A 19448-nucleotide genomic window follows, 5' to 3' on the forward strand; every position below is an offset into this window, starting at 1 on the left:
GATCGGGGCCATCCTGGCCAGCATGCTCAAACCCCATCTCTACTAAAAATACAAAAATTAGCTGTGCGTGGTGGCGGGCGCCTGTGGTCCCAGGTACTCAGGAGGCTGGGGCAGGAGAGTCTCTTGAACCTGGGAGGCGTAGGTTGCAGTGAGCCGAGATCAGGCCACTGCACTCCAGCCTGGCGACAGAACGAGACTCCGTCTTTAAAAAAAAAAAAAAAACGGAATTTTTTTTTTTTTAATGACCTTCCTTAAAGGCAGCAGAGGGAGGTCTCCGTGTCCCAAGCCTCTGCACAGGGTCCCTCATTGAAACTTGGAATAAAAGTTCACCGAAGCCAATGAACATTTTCTGGTTTTCTGCTAAATGTCTGTTTTCTCACATGAGAAAAGTCGCCGTAGAGAGACTGTTCCCTAGATTCCCGGAAAAACACCGTTCCATTCCCATTTAGAAACAACTTATAAATACAGTTGTCTATGTGTGGGCTTTGTTTTGGTTGCATTTCAAACCTGCTTTCTCTCATTTACACCTTCAATTAAGTGCTTTTATACTTTCTCAGGTTCCCAGTTACGGGAATTCTCTTGGTTGTGTCTAGAGCTGGCTCATTGCATTCATTATGTGTTATATTTCACCATTTTAGCTTTCAGAGATAACTGTGTACCCAGGGTTGGTATTCAAAACTCTGAGCAACTGAAAAGCCACAGGCACCAACCAATCAGAACAGATGCTAGCTATAAGCAACCAACGCAGCTGTGCCGTGCCATGCACACAGATGGAGCCTCAGCCTGGCTGATGTGATCTATGTAAGAATCTGGTCTATGATTCCATTCTAGCTTCTATTCCTACTTTGTACTTGGCCTACTTGTGAAATATGTCTTCATGTAACATTGAGGAAAGGCAGTAAAAAAAAATTTCTATTGCCATAAAAAACACATAATTAATGCTGCAGTGGCAAACAAAAACCAATGCTAGTGTAACCACCCAAGGGGTTCACCTTGCCCGGTGCCTAGACAGAGCCGATTCATCAAGACAGGGGAATTGCAATAGAGAAAGAGTAATTTATAGAGCCGGCTGTGCAGGAGACTGGAGTTTTATTATTATTCAAATCAAACTCCCTGAGCATTCAGGGAGCAGAGTTTTTAAGGATAACTTGGTTGGGTGGGGGGAAGCCAGTGAGCCAGGAGTGCTGGTTGACAGGGATGAAATCACAGGGAGTCGAAGCTGTCTCCTTGTGCTGAGTCAGTTCTTGGGTGGGTGCCACAAGATCAGATGAGCCGGTTTATTGATTTGGGTGGTGCCAGCTGATCCATCAAGTGCAGGGTCTGCAAAGTATCTCAAGCACTGATCTTAGGAGCAGTTTAGGGAGTCAGATTCTTATAGCCTCCAGCTGCATGACTCCTAAACCGTAATTTCTAACCTTCTGGCTAATATTGGTCTAGTCCCCAGGCAAGAAGGAGGTCTGCTTTGGGAAAGGGCTGTTACCATCTTTTTTTTTAAACTATAAACTAAATTTCTCTCAAAGTTAGTTCGTCCTACGCCCAGGAATGAAAAAGACAGCATGGAGGTTAGAAGCAAGATGGAGTCAGTTAAGTTAGATCTCTTTCGCTGTCTCAGTCATAATTTTGCAAAGGTAGTTTCAATCGTGCTGATTATTCTCACTGCCTACTTAAGTGTAGTATGAAAGGAACTATTCCTGGTAGAAGCTGATATCTCTATCTGAAAGGCAGGATGTGGCCTCTAAGAACCCGCTCTTACTTCTAAAAGGACAGGTCCTAAGAGACTGCATCAAGCCTTCAGCTCACAAAGAATTGCTGCTGGTACCATTCAAATTATTCATTCTAGAAAGCCCAAAAAAATATTTCTTAAACCTGCTAACTATAACCTTCCGTAATAGCAGCATAGACTACCAGAAGCCAAAAATATACATTTCATGTAAACAGCTTTGAGCTTTGTCAAGTGTTAAATACTGAACTGGTCATCGTACATGACTCAAAGTATCTAACTCAGGGGTGTTTTCTGCACACATTAGTCAATGCCATCTCCTGACAAAATATGACATGCCATTTGCGGCTCTACTAGGCATTCTAAATATCAGGAAAAAAGAAGAGAACTAAGGTATGAGATTGTTACACGCGGTTGTGAGTAACAGCAAGGGAAAAGCAATAGAACAGAGGTCTCTGGGCAGAAAGTTCCTACCAGAGAAATTCTGCTGGTTTGTTCTAATACCCAGGCACTGAGTTAGCTTCCAATGCAAAAGCACAAAATATTAGAAGGAATATTAATATAACCTCTCACTCTATAGAGGAGAAAGCAAAATCCTTCAACTACCTCTCAATTTTAGTTGAAGCATTTAGAGGAGTTTTCTGATGGATATACATAAAACCTGCTTTACACAAATTGGTTTTATGGTGTCCTTGGTTGGAGCATCTCTATTACATAAATCATGAAATGACTGCTTTTGGACAAAATTTCCCCTTTATATTTCTCTAGACTAGGGAACCTGATATAGAGTGTGAAGAACCTTTTTTCTTCTCCCATTCTCTTTTTTTGGGGGCTGATTTTTGGTTCATATTTGTAGGTTCAAGGACAACTCTGTAAAGAATTTTGAAAATTCAAACTTCAACCAATTTGAGGATATCCTAACCCAGTAGTGTTGAAAGTGTGTTCACAGACTACTGACAACTGTTTCTTATCAGTTCATGACAAGATTCATACCGAAATTGAGAATTGCATTTAGAATGCAATAATTTTAAATCCCTTAAAGCTAATGACAAAAAAAGAGGTGTTTATATTTTGTGTATTCATCCATGAGGAACTGGGAATTTAAAAGAACTAGCTGGTTTTTAATCCCAGATATTTTGAGAAGCATTGTTCTAACTTGTGGTCTTTTCAATTGCCCATGCCTTGCTTTTGATCCATAGTTGTATAATGATTGATTCTGACCTTCTGATTAGCAAAGCCCAGGGTAGAAAAATCAAGCACAAAGTCCAGTAAAAATAATTCATCACCTGGTACCAGTATAATATGGCTTGATTTTTGCCTTGAAAAGCACTATCACATATTAGCTCTTTTAAAGTTTTGCAACCATATGAGATAGGAAAGATATTACATGTATTTTATATGTGATTCAGCTGAGCTCAGAGAGAGTGTGCCCTGTCTGAGCTCCCACAGCTAAGCTGACAAACTGGAGAGGGTTAGGAAAGAGTTGAAAGGCTATTCACTGGATGACTGACCATGAAAAAATTGCTTAATTTCTCTGAGGTTTACTTTCCTTATTTGAAGCAAGCAGATAATAATAATTACCTGGCAGGTTGGATGCTTGATGAAAGGAACAAATGAGAAAATATGGTAAACATTTAAAAAATTGTTATTTGTCCTTATTAAGATCTGTTCACTTGCATTACAGGTAGAACAATAGTATCTCACAAAAGTAGGATAGTTTTCCCAGGGCCTGGAACACATACAAAAAAAGTGTCAGTAAATAGTAGCAGAATGAATGTCTAAATGAATGAGCATGGCTTTTTGTCTGTACTAAATTCTTTCTAATGTGCACAGAACTTGATTAAAAGGAATGTAATCTTGCAAATTCTATTCTCTACTGGTATATTACTTAGGATTTCATGGATTGTATTCAACTATATACACATTTTTGGATAGTTGACCCAGAGATTTTCAAACTCATTTTAATTAACGAACTCGTTTCTCCAAAGTTTTATGTACAGTTTCGTAGTTTAAAAACAAATATATATATATACACACACACACAGAGTATATACACATATATGCTATAGATGTGTGTATATACTATGTGAGGCATAGTATATATACAACCTCATAGTATATATGTATATATACCATGTATACATATAGATATATACATACACATATATGTATATATACACATATATATAATACATATTATTTATAGTATATACAAGGGATTATTTTTATTGGAGTTTGTGTCTGATTTTATACTTGATATTGTATCTGTGTGTGTGTGTTTGTATTTGGTGACAGAAACAGCATGATCTGGTTCCTGACTCACTCAGCCTCTCCCTGGCCCCAAAATAGCTCCTGAAATGCTTTTTCAAGCCCCTAGGGCTCCATGAAGCACAGTCTTAAAAACACTGTCTTTTTTATTAGTCGACAGCATGAACAAGTAACAGTAGAAACAAGTTTAACCAAAATGTCCAGAACTGACAAGAATTTATAGTAAGTTAGAAAAAATAAAGGCAAGCATACAGACTTTCAGAAACATAGATATCTCTCCTGAAAAATCTCCCAGAAGTGATAGCCATGAGTCAAATATTACATTTTACCTTTGAAAGTCCAAACTGTAGTGAGTTATCCATAACCTTCTGTGGTTCCACCCAATTTTGTGTTTTGCATGTTTTGAGAGAAATGCAGAATTTCCTGTAGGGTGCTGTGGTTTTCATTGCTTGGTTGATGTTGTGAACATCCAGGGCCAGCTTTCCTCAAGTTCAAAGACAGGAAAACACAAGACACCAATGAAGAAGTTACAAACCTCCCAATACTCTAGTGACCCTGACTTAGAAGGGCCAGGTAGCTGAAAACAGTGACCTGATCAGTCAGAGAAAGTAGAATGGGACCTCTTTAGCACTAATACTTGAAAGAACATGCTACAGCCTCATGTCATGTGCTAGACAAGACATTGGAGCTCCCAAAAAATTGCCTGGGTACAGCAGTCAGTGCAGCCCAGGAAGTTTGTGCAGTTGAGGACACTGAAAAGGTAGAGTGCCAAGGGGCCCATCCATAGGTCAAAGTGGGCACATGGTGAACTCTCAAGATGAGGAGCTTAGTTGTAGCTTTGCTGAGTTCATGGAGAAGACAGGACATGCAATTCACTTATTAAAGTGCCAAAAAGTTGAAAGAATCATGGCTTTGTGTCCTGACTTTCCTGGTCGCATTCTCTCATCTACATAGCAGATGGACTCCCCTCTGGGCTGACAACCTTAGTATGGTTTATATGGCTTGAATTAGTAAATGCTACTCCAAGGTATTGCCATTCCATTTGTCTTCACCCATAGATTTCTCTTTTTCTTTTTTTCTTTTTGAGACAGAGTATCACTCTGTCACTCAGGCTGGAGTGCAGTGGTGCCATCTCGGCTCACTGCAACATCTGCCTCCTGGGTTCAAGGGATTCTCCTGACTCAGCCTCCTGAATAGCTGGGATTACAGCCACCCACCACCACACCCAGCTGATTTTTGTATTTTTAGTAAAGATGGGGTTTTGCCATGTTGGCCAGGCTGGTCTCAAGCTCCTGACCTCAGGTGATCCACCCACCTTGGCCTCCCAGAGTGCTGGGATTACAGGCGTGAGCCACTGCGCCCAGCCTGATTTCTGTTTTTCTTTAATTGCAGAAGCTCTAATATGTAAGTTGGAGGATTCTTATTTCACTATAAATTTATCTTTTTGAGTCTTGCAAACAACAGAGGAGGTGGGTAGGAGAATAGGAAATACTTTAAAGAATCGGAGAGGACATCTCTTCAATCTGAGGTAGCAGCTATGTTTGATTTCATTTTTCCACTGCTCCGAATGATCTTCTCTTCAAATCATGTGACTTATGAGATAGTGACAGATAACACAGGAGTTCATGATTGCTGCATCATTTTCATCTAGAAAGATCTCAGTGCAACTTGTAAGATTTATATCGCTTTCTAGCTGTGAGTTACAAATTCAACAATATACTTTTGCAACAGCACTTTAAAGACAGATAACCTCAACATTTCGCAAAATAATTTTGAAATAATATGTTTGAACATCAACTCTGATGCTGTTAAAGGAACCTAGCAGATGTGTCTTTAATTTAAAGCAATAGACTCTTTCATTAAAACTCTGGAAAGGGCTGGGGACCATTCTTTCTACTTTAGATACACGTGAAATTTAGGCCCAGAAATGTTAGAAGGTGTTGTAAATTCTGTGACTACACTCCAATTTTCTAGGTTGCTGACCTTTCACCTGTCCATTAAATTAGGGTTCATTCAAATGGAGTTTTTTTCAGAGGTAAGATCTTTCATAGTTTTTCATACCACAAAATGTTCTATCCCCACTTAGAGAATTAAAACAAACAAACAAAAAACAGGTAAAACTTGACATAGGGGTAAGAAAATTAAACCACCTTTTGTTATTTTGAGATTTCCAAACCAAGTCTGTGCTGTCCTAAAAAGTACTACCACCTACAATATTAAGTTATAGGGGAAAGACTTTTTTAAATATTAATTGTCCTTCTAGATTATTCTTCTTTCAACCAGAAGACCTAAAAACTGAATATGGACTTAATGAAGATGTCAGATGCTATTTACCTTAGAGTTGGGAGTGCTAGAATCTTAAAATCATTTCATTTTGATTGCCTCCCTAGGAAAGATGATAAGGAGTGACAGAGAGGGAGCTTTGTAGGTCATAGGGTCATAATGAAATGTTCATTTCCATATGCAGAGCCTGAAGATTGAGAAGGGAGGAAGTAGTGAATTGCTTGATAGAACATCTTGCAGTTGACGTATCTGTTGGGCAGTTGGTAACCTAAGAGGAAGCACATCCAGGTGGGATGAAGAGAAAATTGGTGAAGATGATGTGAGATTTATTTTCATTCTCTCAGGTCAGGGAAAAAGATCCAGGAAGGGAAAAAGCATGCAAGTAAAGCAACCTCTGTTGCAAATTATGCTACAAACTCCTAATTACACCATATAAAAGAATTTATGTACTTTTGATGAAAGCTTAGGCTTGGCTTGGCATCAAAGGGAGGTGAAAAGTTTGGGATTCCAGTCAACACTTATGCTGCCCTTCTTTGATGCCACAAAGATGGATCACAGTCTCTAAAGCCAAGAAGATGTATTTTGCCAAAACTAACCTATCTTGACTCATGATGGGTATGAAACCTCAAAATTATGATTTTATAATGAGTTTGCACAGTCATTAGGAAAAATATGATAGTTTTACCACATAGGCCCACCAGGGTTTATTCCACTGGATTTCAGTTTGTAATGCAAACACTGTGATCAGGAGTATTTTCATGAAAGACTCAATGTTCTTCATTTTTAAGGTTTTCAAAGTATTCATATATCACAATTGTCTAGTTACCACAGTGGTTTAGGGTCCTGGATTAAAGAGGGCAAGGTCAAAAGTTTGATCTCTTTAGGTCAGCTGGCCTTTCTCACTTCCATGTCACTGCCAGAATGAATAAGAGCTGCCTGGTCCTAAAATATATGTAGTTTTTACCTTCTTATACATGCTGACTACTATGATTAGCATATAATCAATACCCATAATTCTTTCTGGAAGTTTTGTTTACAAATCCATTAAAAAAATATTTATTGAGCAATATATTAGGCATCACCCCACTTTATCTTCAACTAGACAACTCTTCATCCTCTTTTAAAGTCTAAGAAAATATCATTTCCTCTGAGGGGTCTTCCCTAACACTCCTCTCACACAATCACTGACTAATTAGTTTCCCCGTTCTACACTCCTGAGACACAGTGACTTCTCCTATGTAACACTATTATAATTTTAACAAAATAATCAGCTATTATTTATTTAATGTCAATTTCTCCCACAATTGGGTGGAGAGGTTGAACAGGGCTCTTCTCTTTTATTTATGACACATCTTCGCTATCTAGCAAAATGTCTGGCATATAAAATATTCTTTGGATTAGATGAATGAACGAAAGGTTGTGATATAAAGACCAAAGATTCAACAGGTGTTCTGCCAGGACCAGAGACTGTGAAAATGGGCTAGAAGCTGCTGCTCTAAAACCTAGTGTGTATGTGGTTGGGGCAAAGGAGTGGGAAAAGAGTACACCAGGAGGAGAAGCAATATGACACAGAAACTCAGTGAGGAAACTTAGGGAAGACACTAAGGAATATGCTGCTAATTTGCACAGTAGACATATTTATGAAATTTTACTTTTTTGAGAAATTAATCCATTTTCCTCTTGATATACACTATGAATTCTAAGACATGGATGCACACACACATTTAAAAACTGTATTTAAGAGTGCATAGGCCGGGCACGGTGGCTCACACCTGTAATCCCAGCACTTTGGGAGGCCAAGGTGGGCAGATCACAAGGTCAGGAGATGGAGACCATCCTGGCTAACACGGTGAAACCTCATCTCTACTAAAAATACAAAAAAATTAGCCAGGCATGGTAGTGGGTGCCTGTAATCCCAGCTACTTGGGAGGCTGAGGCAGGAGAATGGCGTGAACCCAGGAGGCGAAGCCTGCAGTGAGCTGAGATTGTGCCACTGCACTCCAGCCTGGGCGACACAGCAAGACTCCTTCTCCAAAAAAAAAAAAAAAAAAAAAAGTGCATAAAGATTTTCAGATAAAAGTATCCAAAAATAGCTCTCTCATAGTCATCATCCCATACAATAAGTCAAATACTTTACCAAATGTTCTGCAACACAGAGAACTTAGAAACTTCCTGGAATCAGAGATGTGGGAAAGAAAAAAATCTCTTATTTCTGGAGAAACACTTAGGGCAATTTTTTAAAAAAAGAAATACATTAAAAGAAGCAGTTTTAAGCAAGTGTTTCTTATATCTTTTACTTTCTGATTTCTTTCTGAACCAGATGAAAAGTACCAACTGAGAAGTCTAAGTCTGCTGCTTCAAATTTTCTTACATTTGCAATGAGAAGATGCAGTCTTTTTATGAGTTCTGCCCTCCCTATTGTTTTTGCCTTAGTATTCTCCAGGCTTCATGGATTTAAGCCATGTAATAGCTGGCAGAGCCTTATCGATGACCTGTTCCAGCTTTATCACTTTGCAGTTGAAGAAAACAGAGGGGTGGAGAGAATTGCCTATGCTAGTTGCTGGCAACTAGAACCCAGGCCTCTGTACTCCCTGTCTGTCCAGTATTCTTTCCCTGGACCACACAGTCTCCCAGGATGAGCTGTGTTTGTGTGTGTTTTGGAAAAGGGTGGATGAGAGGATGGGACAATGCCCAAGATTTGAGACTGACCAATCACTTATATGACCATGACCAGCATTAGGCCAAAAGGATCCAGACTCCCATGCATCCTAAGGAGCCAAAGGACATAATAATGTTTTAGCATAGAAATGAGAAGACTTGAAATGCTGCCTGATGTCTGCAAAAGAGCTTCTGACATCCTAAAGGAACTCAGATCTGGAATCACTATCCTAAAAAAACAAAAGTGTCAGGAAAAGCATTTGGAATATTAATTTGTTATTTATTGAATTTGCAGAATTAGGTCTGCATCAAATCAACATTTGGAGAGTATATTTTCCACCATCCTTAAAGTGTATTTTGAGAATATGATCAATAACAGATAAAAGTAATACCAGACAGAAAAATGAATACCTCCCCAGACCTCCTCATCTGTACATCACTCCCATTTCATTAAATAAAGAAGATGATAAGATATAGAAGCCAGATTGGAAAAGAGACAGCCAGGGCCATTTTACCACTTCAATGACATGATAGAAGTCTTGTAAAACATGCAAATGAGTGTAGGCCCACAAAGCATCACCTAATGAAGACGAATGTATGTGAAACCACCTAAGCAAAGGTGGCATATAATGAATGGCAAAACACTGAACCAAGCTCTTCTGTGCTAAGGAGCTGCAGAGAGCTGACTTTCATCTCATTGTGAAGTAAATAGAGAGTTGAGACCTGGCAATGTGCTTGGTCAGCTCACCCCTGGAGCTCAGCACATCTGGGCTCTGACTTTACAAAGAAAAGCAAAGAACAATGTAAACCTCATAGTCTTTTGGCCCAAAAGATCCTTCAACCCGTTCCCAATCTGTCAGGGTGCTAATCTGTTTTGAACATTTGGTCCTTCTTTCCAGAATGTCTTCCCAGAGTAACCCAACCCTTCCTCCAAACTGCCAGTACAGCCTGACTTCTGTGCTTCTCTCAGCTGGAATTCTACTGCACACACATCTGGCTGGTTGGCTTGTTTCCCTGGTAATTTAGAAGCTGCTTGAAAAAATCTGACTTTTAAACATGCCTATTGGTCAGTGGTCTCCAATGCTTTGCCTTGTGAGTGTTCATTTTAAAACTGTGGCTTCCTATACATAATACCTGTGAAAAAATGCTGGTATCTACTGGGCAAGAAGTTATTGTGTTCTCTCTAAACCCTCTCAAAACTATGGCTATCATATAGACTTGGAGGTAGTGAGGCTTGTGGGGAACAGAAGGTAAAAGAGAAAAAGATGCTTTATCATTTAAATGGTCCTAAGAAACTAATTTACACGCTCTGTTTTTAATCTCTCATATAACTATAACCTGTATACAACTAGGCCCAGTCACTCTTGCTTTGAAGCCAGGTGCAACCAAGGGTAACAGTTAAATCGCATCACTCTGACTCAGAAAGCTTTCAAGAATTTACTAGATCTTTGTTGTAATTTCCTTAAAACTTTCTAAACATCCTTTTTAGACATGTTTTCTTCTGCCTAAGTTTTATGTTGCCATCAGCACCTTCCCTCAAATTTTAGCAGATAAAGTCCCTCGACCTAGTTATATATCAAAGAACACGTTGATGGAATGAAGGGGAGCCATGTAAATTATTTCATTGTTTAGCTTAATTAACATTTATTGAGCACCAGCTGTGTACCACTCACTGTTTTAAGCTTCATGGTTACAAAGATAAATAAGACATAAGACACAATCCCTGCTTATTGATGATGAAACAGCAGGGCAGGCAACATCACTGTCTCCATTTTATAGGAAAGAATCTACACTCAGAGGTTAAGGGAGACATACAGCTGGTGGTGGTGACATATGAACTAGACCAAGGACTGCCTGATTTTTGGATTATTACTCTCTAGTGGTGCATCCAAGAGGCTTTTTTTTGTTTTTTGTTTTTTTGGGTTTTTTTTTTTTTCAGATTGAAAGACATGAGGCCGGGCACCAAGGCTTATGCCTGTAATCCCAGCACTTTGGGAGGCTGAGGTGGGTGGATCACTTGAGGTCAGGAGTTGAGACCAGCGTGGCCAACATAGTAATACCCCGTCTCTACTAAAAATACAAAAATTAGCCAGGCGTGGTGGCGGGCGCCTGTAGTCCCAGCTACTTGGGAGACTGAGGCACGAGAATCGCTTGAACCTGGGAGGCAGAAGTTGCAGTGAGCTGAGGCAGCGCCACTGCACATCAGCAGGGGTGACAGAATAAGACTCTGTCTCAAAAAAAGAAAAAAGAAACTAAAAACATGAACTATTTGACAAAAAACCCCCCACAAAACTTATAGTTAGTTAAAAATCATGAACTGTCATAAAAATAATAGTCATAGTCAACTTGGAATTTGAAATGGCTTTCTATATACTATATGAGACAAAGTAGCAAAGAAGCCATGTTTGCCCATTTCCATTTGCTATTATAATTTCACAGAGCCTCTGACTCTATGATGATATGCAGCTCTTTTGAAAGATGTTTTGAAGACAAAACACGGAGAGCACACACCTCCCTCCCACCTCACGTCTTTTGCCTGAGTCACTACATTTCGTAAAAGATAAATGACCCTCATCCTTGCCTTTTCCTGGACATAAGATAATGTCTGACAGAGTTAGTGATTATGCTTCTGTAATCTACAACCAGATGTCTTTTTACACCCAAACTTCGAGGTGATTCTGCTTTAATATAACTTCAGAGCAAGTTTTATGTGATTTCACAAGTACAGAACCCCTACCACATGTACATAAGCTGTAGGCTAAAATATTGTGCTGAAACAGTCTGACAGAACTGCCCTGGGGCTATAGACGGTAGTCTATAGTCCTCAGTAAGACTTCTGAATAAAATTAACTTTAATTCTCTAAAAGCTTGATTTTTTTTTCTTTAGTCAACAGATATATTTACTCAGTTGAGCTTCTATAGCAGTGCTGTCTAATAGAACTTTCTGAAAAAATTGAAATACTCTGTGCCGCCCAGTGGAGTAATCACTAGCCACATGCAACTACTAAGCCCTTGAAATGTGGCTGGTGCAACTGAGAAACTGAATTATTTTATTTTAATAAATTTAAATGTAAAATCTTCACATGACTAGCAGCTGCTGTATTAAACAGCACAGCTCTATAATGTGCAGATAATGCTAACATTGGGGGTGACCAAGGATCACCTCTTACTGAAGGATAATCTTCCCCTTAACAGATAGAAGGGATATTTAACAGATATTTAACGTATTTTAATATTTTGGGGGGGGGGTGCAGGTTCAAGTATGGTTGAAAGAGAAACAGACAAATGTGCTAACAGGCAGCCTTTCATGAAACAAAATAAGTGACAGTGACCATCATTTCACATGCTGGTCACTGGAAGGAGACGGATGATCTATCTGCAGAGACAGGCAGTTATACTTGCAGCGATAGAGAAAATAAGCTTGTGCTTAGAGAAGTCTGTTTCTAAATGAAAGGCTTGGCTATTTTTATCTGTTCAAGCCTAGACATATTACTGAATATTAATAAGCTCTGCGGTCTGAAATGAAGTGGTTAAAGGTGGGAGGGAGAGACATATTTTTCTTCCTTTTAATAAGAGACAAGCAAACCTGAAACTTTAAGTCTTTATCTATGCACACCAGAAAAATATTTCAGTCCTTAAAGCTTCAAGAGTTGGCTCAACAGAGAGCAAGGTGGGTTTTTTTCTGGTATCACTTATTCCCATAATCCTCTGACTTGCACATTGTAGTATCTAAGGATTTTTCTAATGAAAGCACAACTGATTTTTCTTATTCATTTTTCATTTCCACACTACAAGGATATCCAAGCTGCTCAGTGTAACAATATTCCACCTAAGCCAAGGATGCTGGGGAGATTTGGTGACCAGGGCCCAGATAATGTAATAATAAAAGAGAAATTTATAAAGAAATCACTTTCACCAGATCCTTTCCACCAGCCCACTGGGACATGATCAAACAGAGGACGAACAGAAGCCAACACACATGAAGCTCTAAGGGCATCATAATTTTCTTCCCTTAATTATAAGAAATTATTCTGAACATACAAGACACAGCATATGGTAATATAAAGGTAACAGCATATGAGTTTTTAACCAGTTTTGATATGGTGACATCACTACCTGTTTTCTGTTTCTCTTTGCTTCTTTGCAAGGGAAGGAGTAATTAAACCCATTCTAGGAGGGAGGGAACTTTCTCTGCTCCCACTTGGTTCCCATCACTCCCCACACCCAGGAGGGAAGGTAAATATTTCTTTTTTTTTTTTTTTTTTTTTTTTTTTTTTTTGAGACGGAGTCCCGCTGTTTAGCCCAGGCCGGATTGCAGTGGCGCAATCTCGGCTCACTGCAAGCTCCGCCTCCCAGGTTCACGCCATTCTCCTGCCTCAGCCTCCCGAGTAGCTGGGACTACAGGCGCCCGCCACCGCGCCCGGCTAATTTTTTGTATTTTTAGTAGAGACGGGGTTTCACCGTGTTAGCCAAGATGGTCTCGATCTCCTGACCTTGTGATCCGCCCGCCTCGGCCTCCCAAAGTGCTGGGATTACAGGCGTGAGCCACCGCGCCCAGCCGGGAAGGTAAATATTTCTTATTCCCTTCTAGGAAGTGTATGATGACTAAGCATCCTTAGAAGTTAGCTTTTAGTTGTTAGTGATTTGAGCTCTGGATTTCAGTTATGGAGGATAATTGCACCAGAGAAAATAAAATAGTACAGGGCTTTGAGCCTGAAGGATAAAGGGTCCAGAGCTGGCACTCTGGAAAGTACTAAAAGTTGGGGATAATGAGCAAAAGGAAAGGGGAGTTACTAGATGGGGAGAATTATCTGGGAAAACAGGTTGGGGCAGAGAAAGTGGGTAAAGGGGCATTGAACAGGAAATATAGGGTGAACAATTGGAAAATAGTCTTGAACATGAGAATCATAGTTTTCTCAACTTACCACTCAGTGTTCTTGTAAGTGAGAATCATCTTAAAATCTGTGCGCAAGACCTCAGGGGGACTATTTCTCCATCTGTATCATGACTTCACTAAATTGACTGCCTGATGGGCACAGCAACCATTCTTGCCATAGAATGTTATGCTCTTTGTGGTGGCACTCTATGAGCCACCTTGCCACTACATTCCAAAACACCTTAAGCCTGAGGGGCTCCCTGGAATCTTCCACGGGTCATAGGGAAGAGGCTCTCCAACTGTATGTGGAAAGATTGGGTGGCAGAAGTTTACATGTAGGCTGGGATAGAGACCTTTAAATGGAAAGCTCTGTAACGTTAAGTATAGTCAACCACTGATTGCTTCTCTAGTATCTATTCCCTTTTCCATCTTTTCCAAACAGATCCCAAATATTTTTAGGTGTCCACTACCCCTTTTCTTTGTAGTCCTTGTTACTTAGGGGAAGCTGACCCTATTCCCAGTTTGGGGGTGGCTTCTTATCGATCCAAGCATGGTTATCCCATCCCCATTGTCAGTGATTGGTCCAGGATCCAGGCTTAAGCCAATTATCTCATGGTATTCCCTCTTGTTTCAGCTACTGGTCCAGGGCTGGGGAGTGTGAACTACCTGGGGCACTGGCCCAGTTAGATAAAAGGAAATGACTTTTATTTCAAGATTGGAAGAGATGCGATTGCTCTATCCTGCTGGACATAAAAAAAAAAAGCATATCTCCTTGATTCCTAATGGCAGCTATCTTATAATCCCATATAACTCCAATAACCTTATAACATATTATAATCCCCTAAAATTGAGGAGGCAACCTTAAGATGTTCAAAAGCTGTGAGACAGAGAGAAATGGAAAATATCACAATGTCTGAAGACTTTGTTGAGTCACGAACTCAGCCATTTTTGCAGCCCACCCTACCTACGGATTTATTCATTTCCTTGCTTAAATTAATTTTCTTGCAGTTTTCTACTACTTGTAGCTGAAAACTGGCTTAAAATGTTCATTACAAACACCCAGGAAGCTGGTAGGGAAAATTACTTTTCTATTAAAATAAAACCCAGAACTTTCAATGACTATCCAGAAATGAAAATCCAGTGTAGAAGTAGGGAGCTTATTAAACAGCTCCAATTTTATCCCTCCAAATCTCACACTTCTACATGGGGTTCTCCGAAGTTAGACACTGTAGCCACCACCATATTTGGACCCAGAGGAGTGTAAATTACCTTTTAAAGTCTGCTATAGATACAATCAAGCTGTAACTTCCAAGACGGCTTTGTTACATGCCAAGAGAGAACAACAGGGACACAAGCAAATAATATACCAGTGGATCAAATTTGTCTGACTTTCGAAGTACCACATAATTGTTCCATAGCTAGCTGGGGCCTGGGTTTACAGACCTTGTCCTAATATCTGAGATGTTTACCAAAAGTTGACCCAGCTTCACATGGGATCCTACTCAGGTTTCTAATTTCCTCCTAATTGACCTCAACATAGACAGCACCATTTTAAAATTTGTCCCTCCAGAGTTCCCTCTTAAAACTTTGACAAATTTTAATGTAAGATTTCCACTTGAGTTCTAGTCAAGAGAGCCTATGTGTTTGTCAGAGTCTGACTCAAGAACCATCCACAGTAGGATCTCCAGGGATTATCACTTAAAATGCAGATTCCTGAGCCCCAGGCTAACGATTGTGATTCAGTAAGGCTTGAGTGGCACCCAGGAATCTACATTTTAGCCAGTTTGTTCAATGATTGTTCCCAAGATAAAAATTTAAAGCTCTGTTTTAAGAATAGCTTTAAATTCTCCAAAACTAGCAGTAAAGGTAGCCTGTATATCATGCTATCATGAAACAAACACACAAATACAGTTCTCCACAAATGTACATATAGTAGCTATTTTGGACTTTTAAATCTGGCTTACAGCTGCAGTTGTATAAGCCATTTTCTATATCCTCTTTTTTTTTCTTAACCAATCCAAATATATGCTTTTTTTTTTAACCAGAAGAATGATTACAACATGACAAAATGTTTGTTCTCTCTTGCATTTAAAGAATTATTGTGAAAGTCCATATATACATTTCTTTGTAAAATGGGAATTTCACAAGAAGTATATGGAACGATATATCTAAGGCTGATCATAGAGTTTTGATGGAAATAATTTTATTTACAATAAATTTTAAAGAGTGCTAAACACATATTGGAAACAGAATGCTAACACATTAGAATGCAAGGGTGACCAAAAAGAAAAAGAAAAAGTAGTTCAAGAAGTGACCAGTCTGCATGCCAAGCTCATGCCTCCCCATAACATAATAAGAAGGGCCCTGCTATGGCAACATATCTCCTCAGCCATCTAGTCGCCCATCCACCCACCCATTGTTTTCTTTTTCCACATCACATTTTTTTAATTTATTATGTTTCAGGTTGCTATAACCTTACATCTTTATGTGGAAGCACATGATTTAAGTAGCACATAAATCTACTGTGAACAGTTTATTTGAATGCATGTAATTGTTACTTAGGTGGAATGCCTCTGCTGTAATGACACCCAGGTCAGATAAGTTTCACTTGGTTCTCCCAGAAGCAGTTGTCAAGACAAAGATTTAAGTACTAGCAATTTATTTGATGTCATAGCCAAGGAATCAAGGGTCAGGGAGAGGTGAAGTGAAATAGAGAAAAGAAAAAAGAATAACGGGGTGTGATAATGAGCCATTTACTTCTGTGGCAACTGGGACTTATCCCACAGGGGACCTCTAGGACACTACACATAACACATCTCAGAGTTTTCCCAACCAAGGTGTAAGGAACTGGGGTATTTATCCACCAACTGCCTTTCATCATTGGTTGAGGGATGCTCCAGGGACATCTGTAGGAGATTGGTCAGAGTGGTGGGAGAAGCAACAGGGAAAGGCTCTGACTATTCAGAAGGCTCTGCATAGCTTTGGGGGAGAAGAGCTGAAGGCAGCTGTTCTCTGCCCTTGAGTCAGAGGGCAAGGAGTAGGTACAAGGAAGTGTAGGGGAATTTATCTTAAACAGGCCTGTTTACTTATGTTGACCAGGAACCCACCTTTGATCATCCATGCATGTGACACAGAGGAACAATAATGTTAATTACCCACAGATTGTGTTTGCTCCAGGCTTTGGCATTATGTCAGTACTGAATAAAAGCAAGTAGCTCCAGCTGTTAGAGACTGCTCACTCTTTGGCAACTAGTGCCGGGCAGTCCCCTAGCTGCTTTTACACTGCATACCTGTGTCTGAGTACTCCTTTCTTTCTTTTTTTTTTTTTCTTTTTTTGAGACAGAGTCTCACATTGTCGCCAGGCTGGAATGCAGTGGTGCGATCTCGGCTCACTGCAACCTCCACCTCCCGGGTTCAAGCAATTCTCCTGCCTCAGCCTCCTGACTAGCTGGGGTTACAGGTGCGTGCCACCACGTCCAGCTAATTTTTGTATTTTTAATAGAGACAGGGTTTCACAAAGTTGGCCAGGACGGTCTCAATCTCTTGACCTTGTGATCCGCCCACCTTGGCCTCCCAAAGTGCTGGGATTGCAGGCGTGAGCCACCGGTGCCCAGCCCTGAGTACTCCTTTTACCCATTGCTTGGCCAGGATCTGTGGGACAGATCTGGCAGACATCATCTTTCCAAGAACTTCCATTGCCCTTCTTGTATGGTGTTGAGTGTCCTGGGTCTCAGGAGCTTGGAGTAGAAAGCCACCAGCATGTAAGGAACTAGTGAGTGCTGAGAGGATATGGGTTGGGCACCAACAGTGTCTGCTGCAGTCCAGCCTTTGTATCACTCAGATTCCTTTGGGTCCCATGTTAAATGGACACAATCCTGACACTGATTTTTCAGGAGATGATTGGTCAGAATTTCAAAAGAGGGGAAAAAAAGAAGAAAGACAACAGAAAGTTTAATAGGGTAAGATACAATCTAGACAGCTGCAGTTGATCCCAAAGTCACCCCTGATAATTGCTATCTCCCTCTTCTACCCCTTGTTTAGCAGTCCTGCTAGTCTAGGTTGTTTGCTTCGTGTGATAACATACACTTTCATTCCTGGGGGATCTGAGTCCCTGATTACTATGCTCTTGTTAAACTATGACTGCTTGAATTACCTGGTCATAAGGATCACAGTGCATGAACTCAATAAAAAGTGCCCCAATGAATTTACTGAGTTCTAGACATCTTTCCTGCTGGCATTTCGTATGAGCAATCCTATTTCTTTTCTTTTCTTTTTTTTCTTTTTTTTTTTTTTTTTTTTTTCGAGACAGAGTCTTGCTCTGTCACCAGGCTGGAGTGCAGTAGTGTGATCTCAGCTCACTGCAACCTCCACCTCCTGGGTTCAGGTGATGCTCCTGCCTCAGCCTCCTGAGTAACTGGGACTACAGGCACATGCCACCATGCCTGGCTAATTTTTGTATTTTTAGTAGAGATGGAGTTTCACCGTGTTGGCCAGGATGGTCTTGATCTCTTGACCTCATGGTCTGCCTGCCTTGGCCTCCCAAATTGCTGGGATTACAGGCGTGAACCACGGCACCTGGCTAAGCAATCTGATTTATTTACAGTAATCAGGACCAATGACCACTCCCACTATAGTAATTCTCGTCTTTACTGTTGATCTATTAGTATGTGGAATCCAAAATGATTAGGAGGAAGTTATATCTTTAGGTAAGAAGATCTCAAAGAGAGGTCTGAAGAGCCCTGAGAGTTCCCAGTGACAGAGGTCCACTATTTTCAACTGCGTATCTGCAAGAGACCAAATTTTCTTCATGTACTTAAACAAAAACAACATATCACAGCAGAGTGAATACTGAAGCCGATATGAGAATCTATGTCCTATTAAACCAGATATTTAAAGGTTTTGTGAAAATATAAAACAATGGCATTCTCTCATTAAACCTTTTTGGTTTGGAAATAATTTATTTTTCATTAAAATGTGTTATTTATAATAACGTAATGGGTTTACTATGGTTATTTTAAAATAACCATATTTATTTACATTTTAAATACTAAAATTTATTTACATTTTAAAATACTAAAGAAAATTTTTAGTTTTAATTATGAATAGGGTATTTAGTGGTAGAGAAAAACCCACACAAATAAAACTCATTGGTCTGCAAAGAGTGTAAAAGATCCCTGAGAGCAAAGTATGTGAGACCTCTGCTTTAGTTTTAATGGCACACTGACAGTATTCCCTAATAATTGTGACTCTTCCCTGTGTTAAAAGAAAACTTCGGACAAATTAAATTGTACGGAGTTTAATTGAGCAAGAAAACAAAATGATGCACTAATCAGGCAGCCTCCAGAATCACAGCAGATTCAGAGAGACTCCAGGGATGCCTCGTGGTCAGAACAAATTTACAGACAAAAAAAAACGGAAAGTGACGTACAGAAATTGGAAGTGAGGTACAAAACGGCTGGATTGGTTATAGGTTGGTGTTTGCCTTACTTGAACACAGTTTGAACACTCACAGCAGTGTATGAGTGGTTGACGTACTGCTGCTGGGATTGGCCAAGACTTAACTAACTTAGTCCTAAGTTAGGTTTCAATCATGTTTGCCTATTAAGTTGTGTTCCGGTTGGTCCACAGGGACTCAAATGTAGA

At 39.9% G+C, this 19448-nt stretch overlaps 1 long non-coding RNA gene and 1 other non-coding gene across 2 annotated transcripts, besides 1 other annotated feature; one reads left to right on the forward strand and one right to left on the reverse strand.

Annotated features, from left to right (window-relative positions):
• Positions 1 to 1072: 1072 nt before the first annotated feature.
• On the reverse strand, positions 1073 to 13943 carry LINC02042 (long intergenic non-protein coding RNA 2042). Its single transcript, NR_110017.1, has 5 exons — positions 13855 to 13943; positions 6323 to 6539; positions 4318 to 5635; positions 3302 to 3449; positions 1073 to 1320 (listed from the first exon to the last, which is right to left on the reverse strand). It is a non-coding gene; the product is annotated as a long intergenic non-protein coding RNA 2042 (long non-coding RNA).
• On the forward strand, positions 1713 to 1805 carry MIR9900 (microRNA 9900). The gene has a single exon (NR_162092.1). It is a non-coding gene; the product is annotated as a microRNA 9900 (primary transcript).
• Positions 9371 to 10225: an enhancer, noted in NCBI's record as "NANOG hESC enhancer chr3:112463594-112464448 (GRCh37/hg19 assembly coordinates)". NCBI's record gives its function as "activates a minimal SCP1, AML or CMV promoter by ChIP-STARR-seq in naive H9 embryonic stem cells {active_cell/tissue: H9 hESC(naive)}" and the evidence as "EXISTENCE:reporter gene assay evidence [ECO:0000049][PMID:30033119]".
• Positions 13944 to 19448: the final 5505 nt, after the last annotated feature.

This window comes from Homo sapiens, chromosome 3, assembly GCF_000001405.40.
Source record: "Homo sapiens chromosome 3, GRCh38.p14 Primary Assembly".
Lineage (NCBI taxonomy): Eukaryota > Metazoa > Chordata > Mammalia > Primates > Hominidae > Homo > Homo sapiens.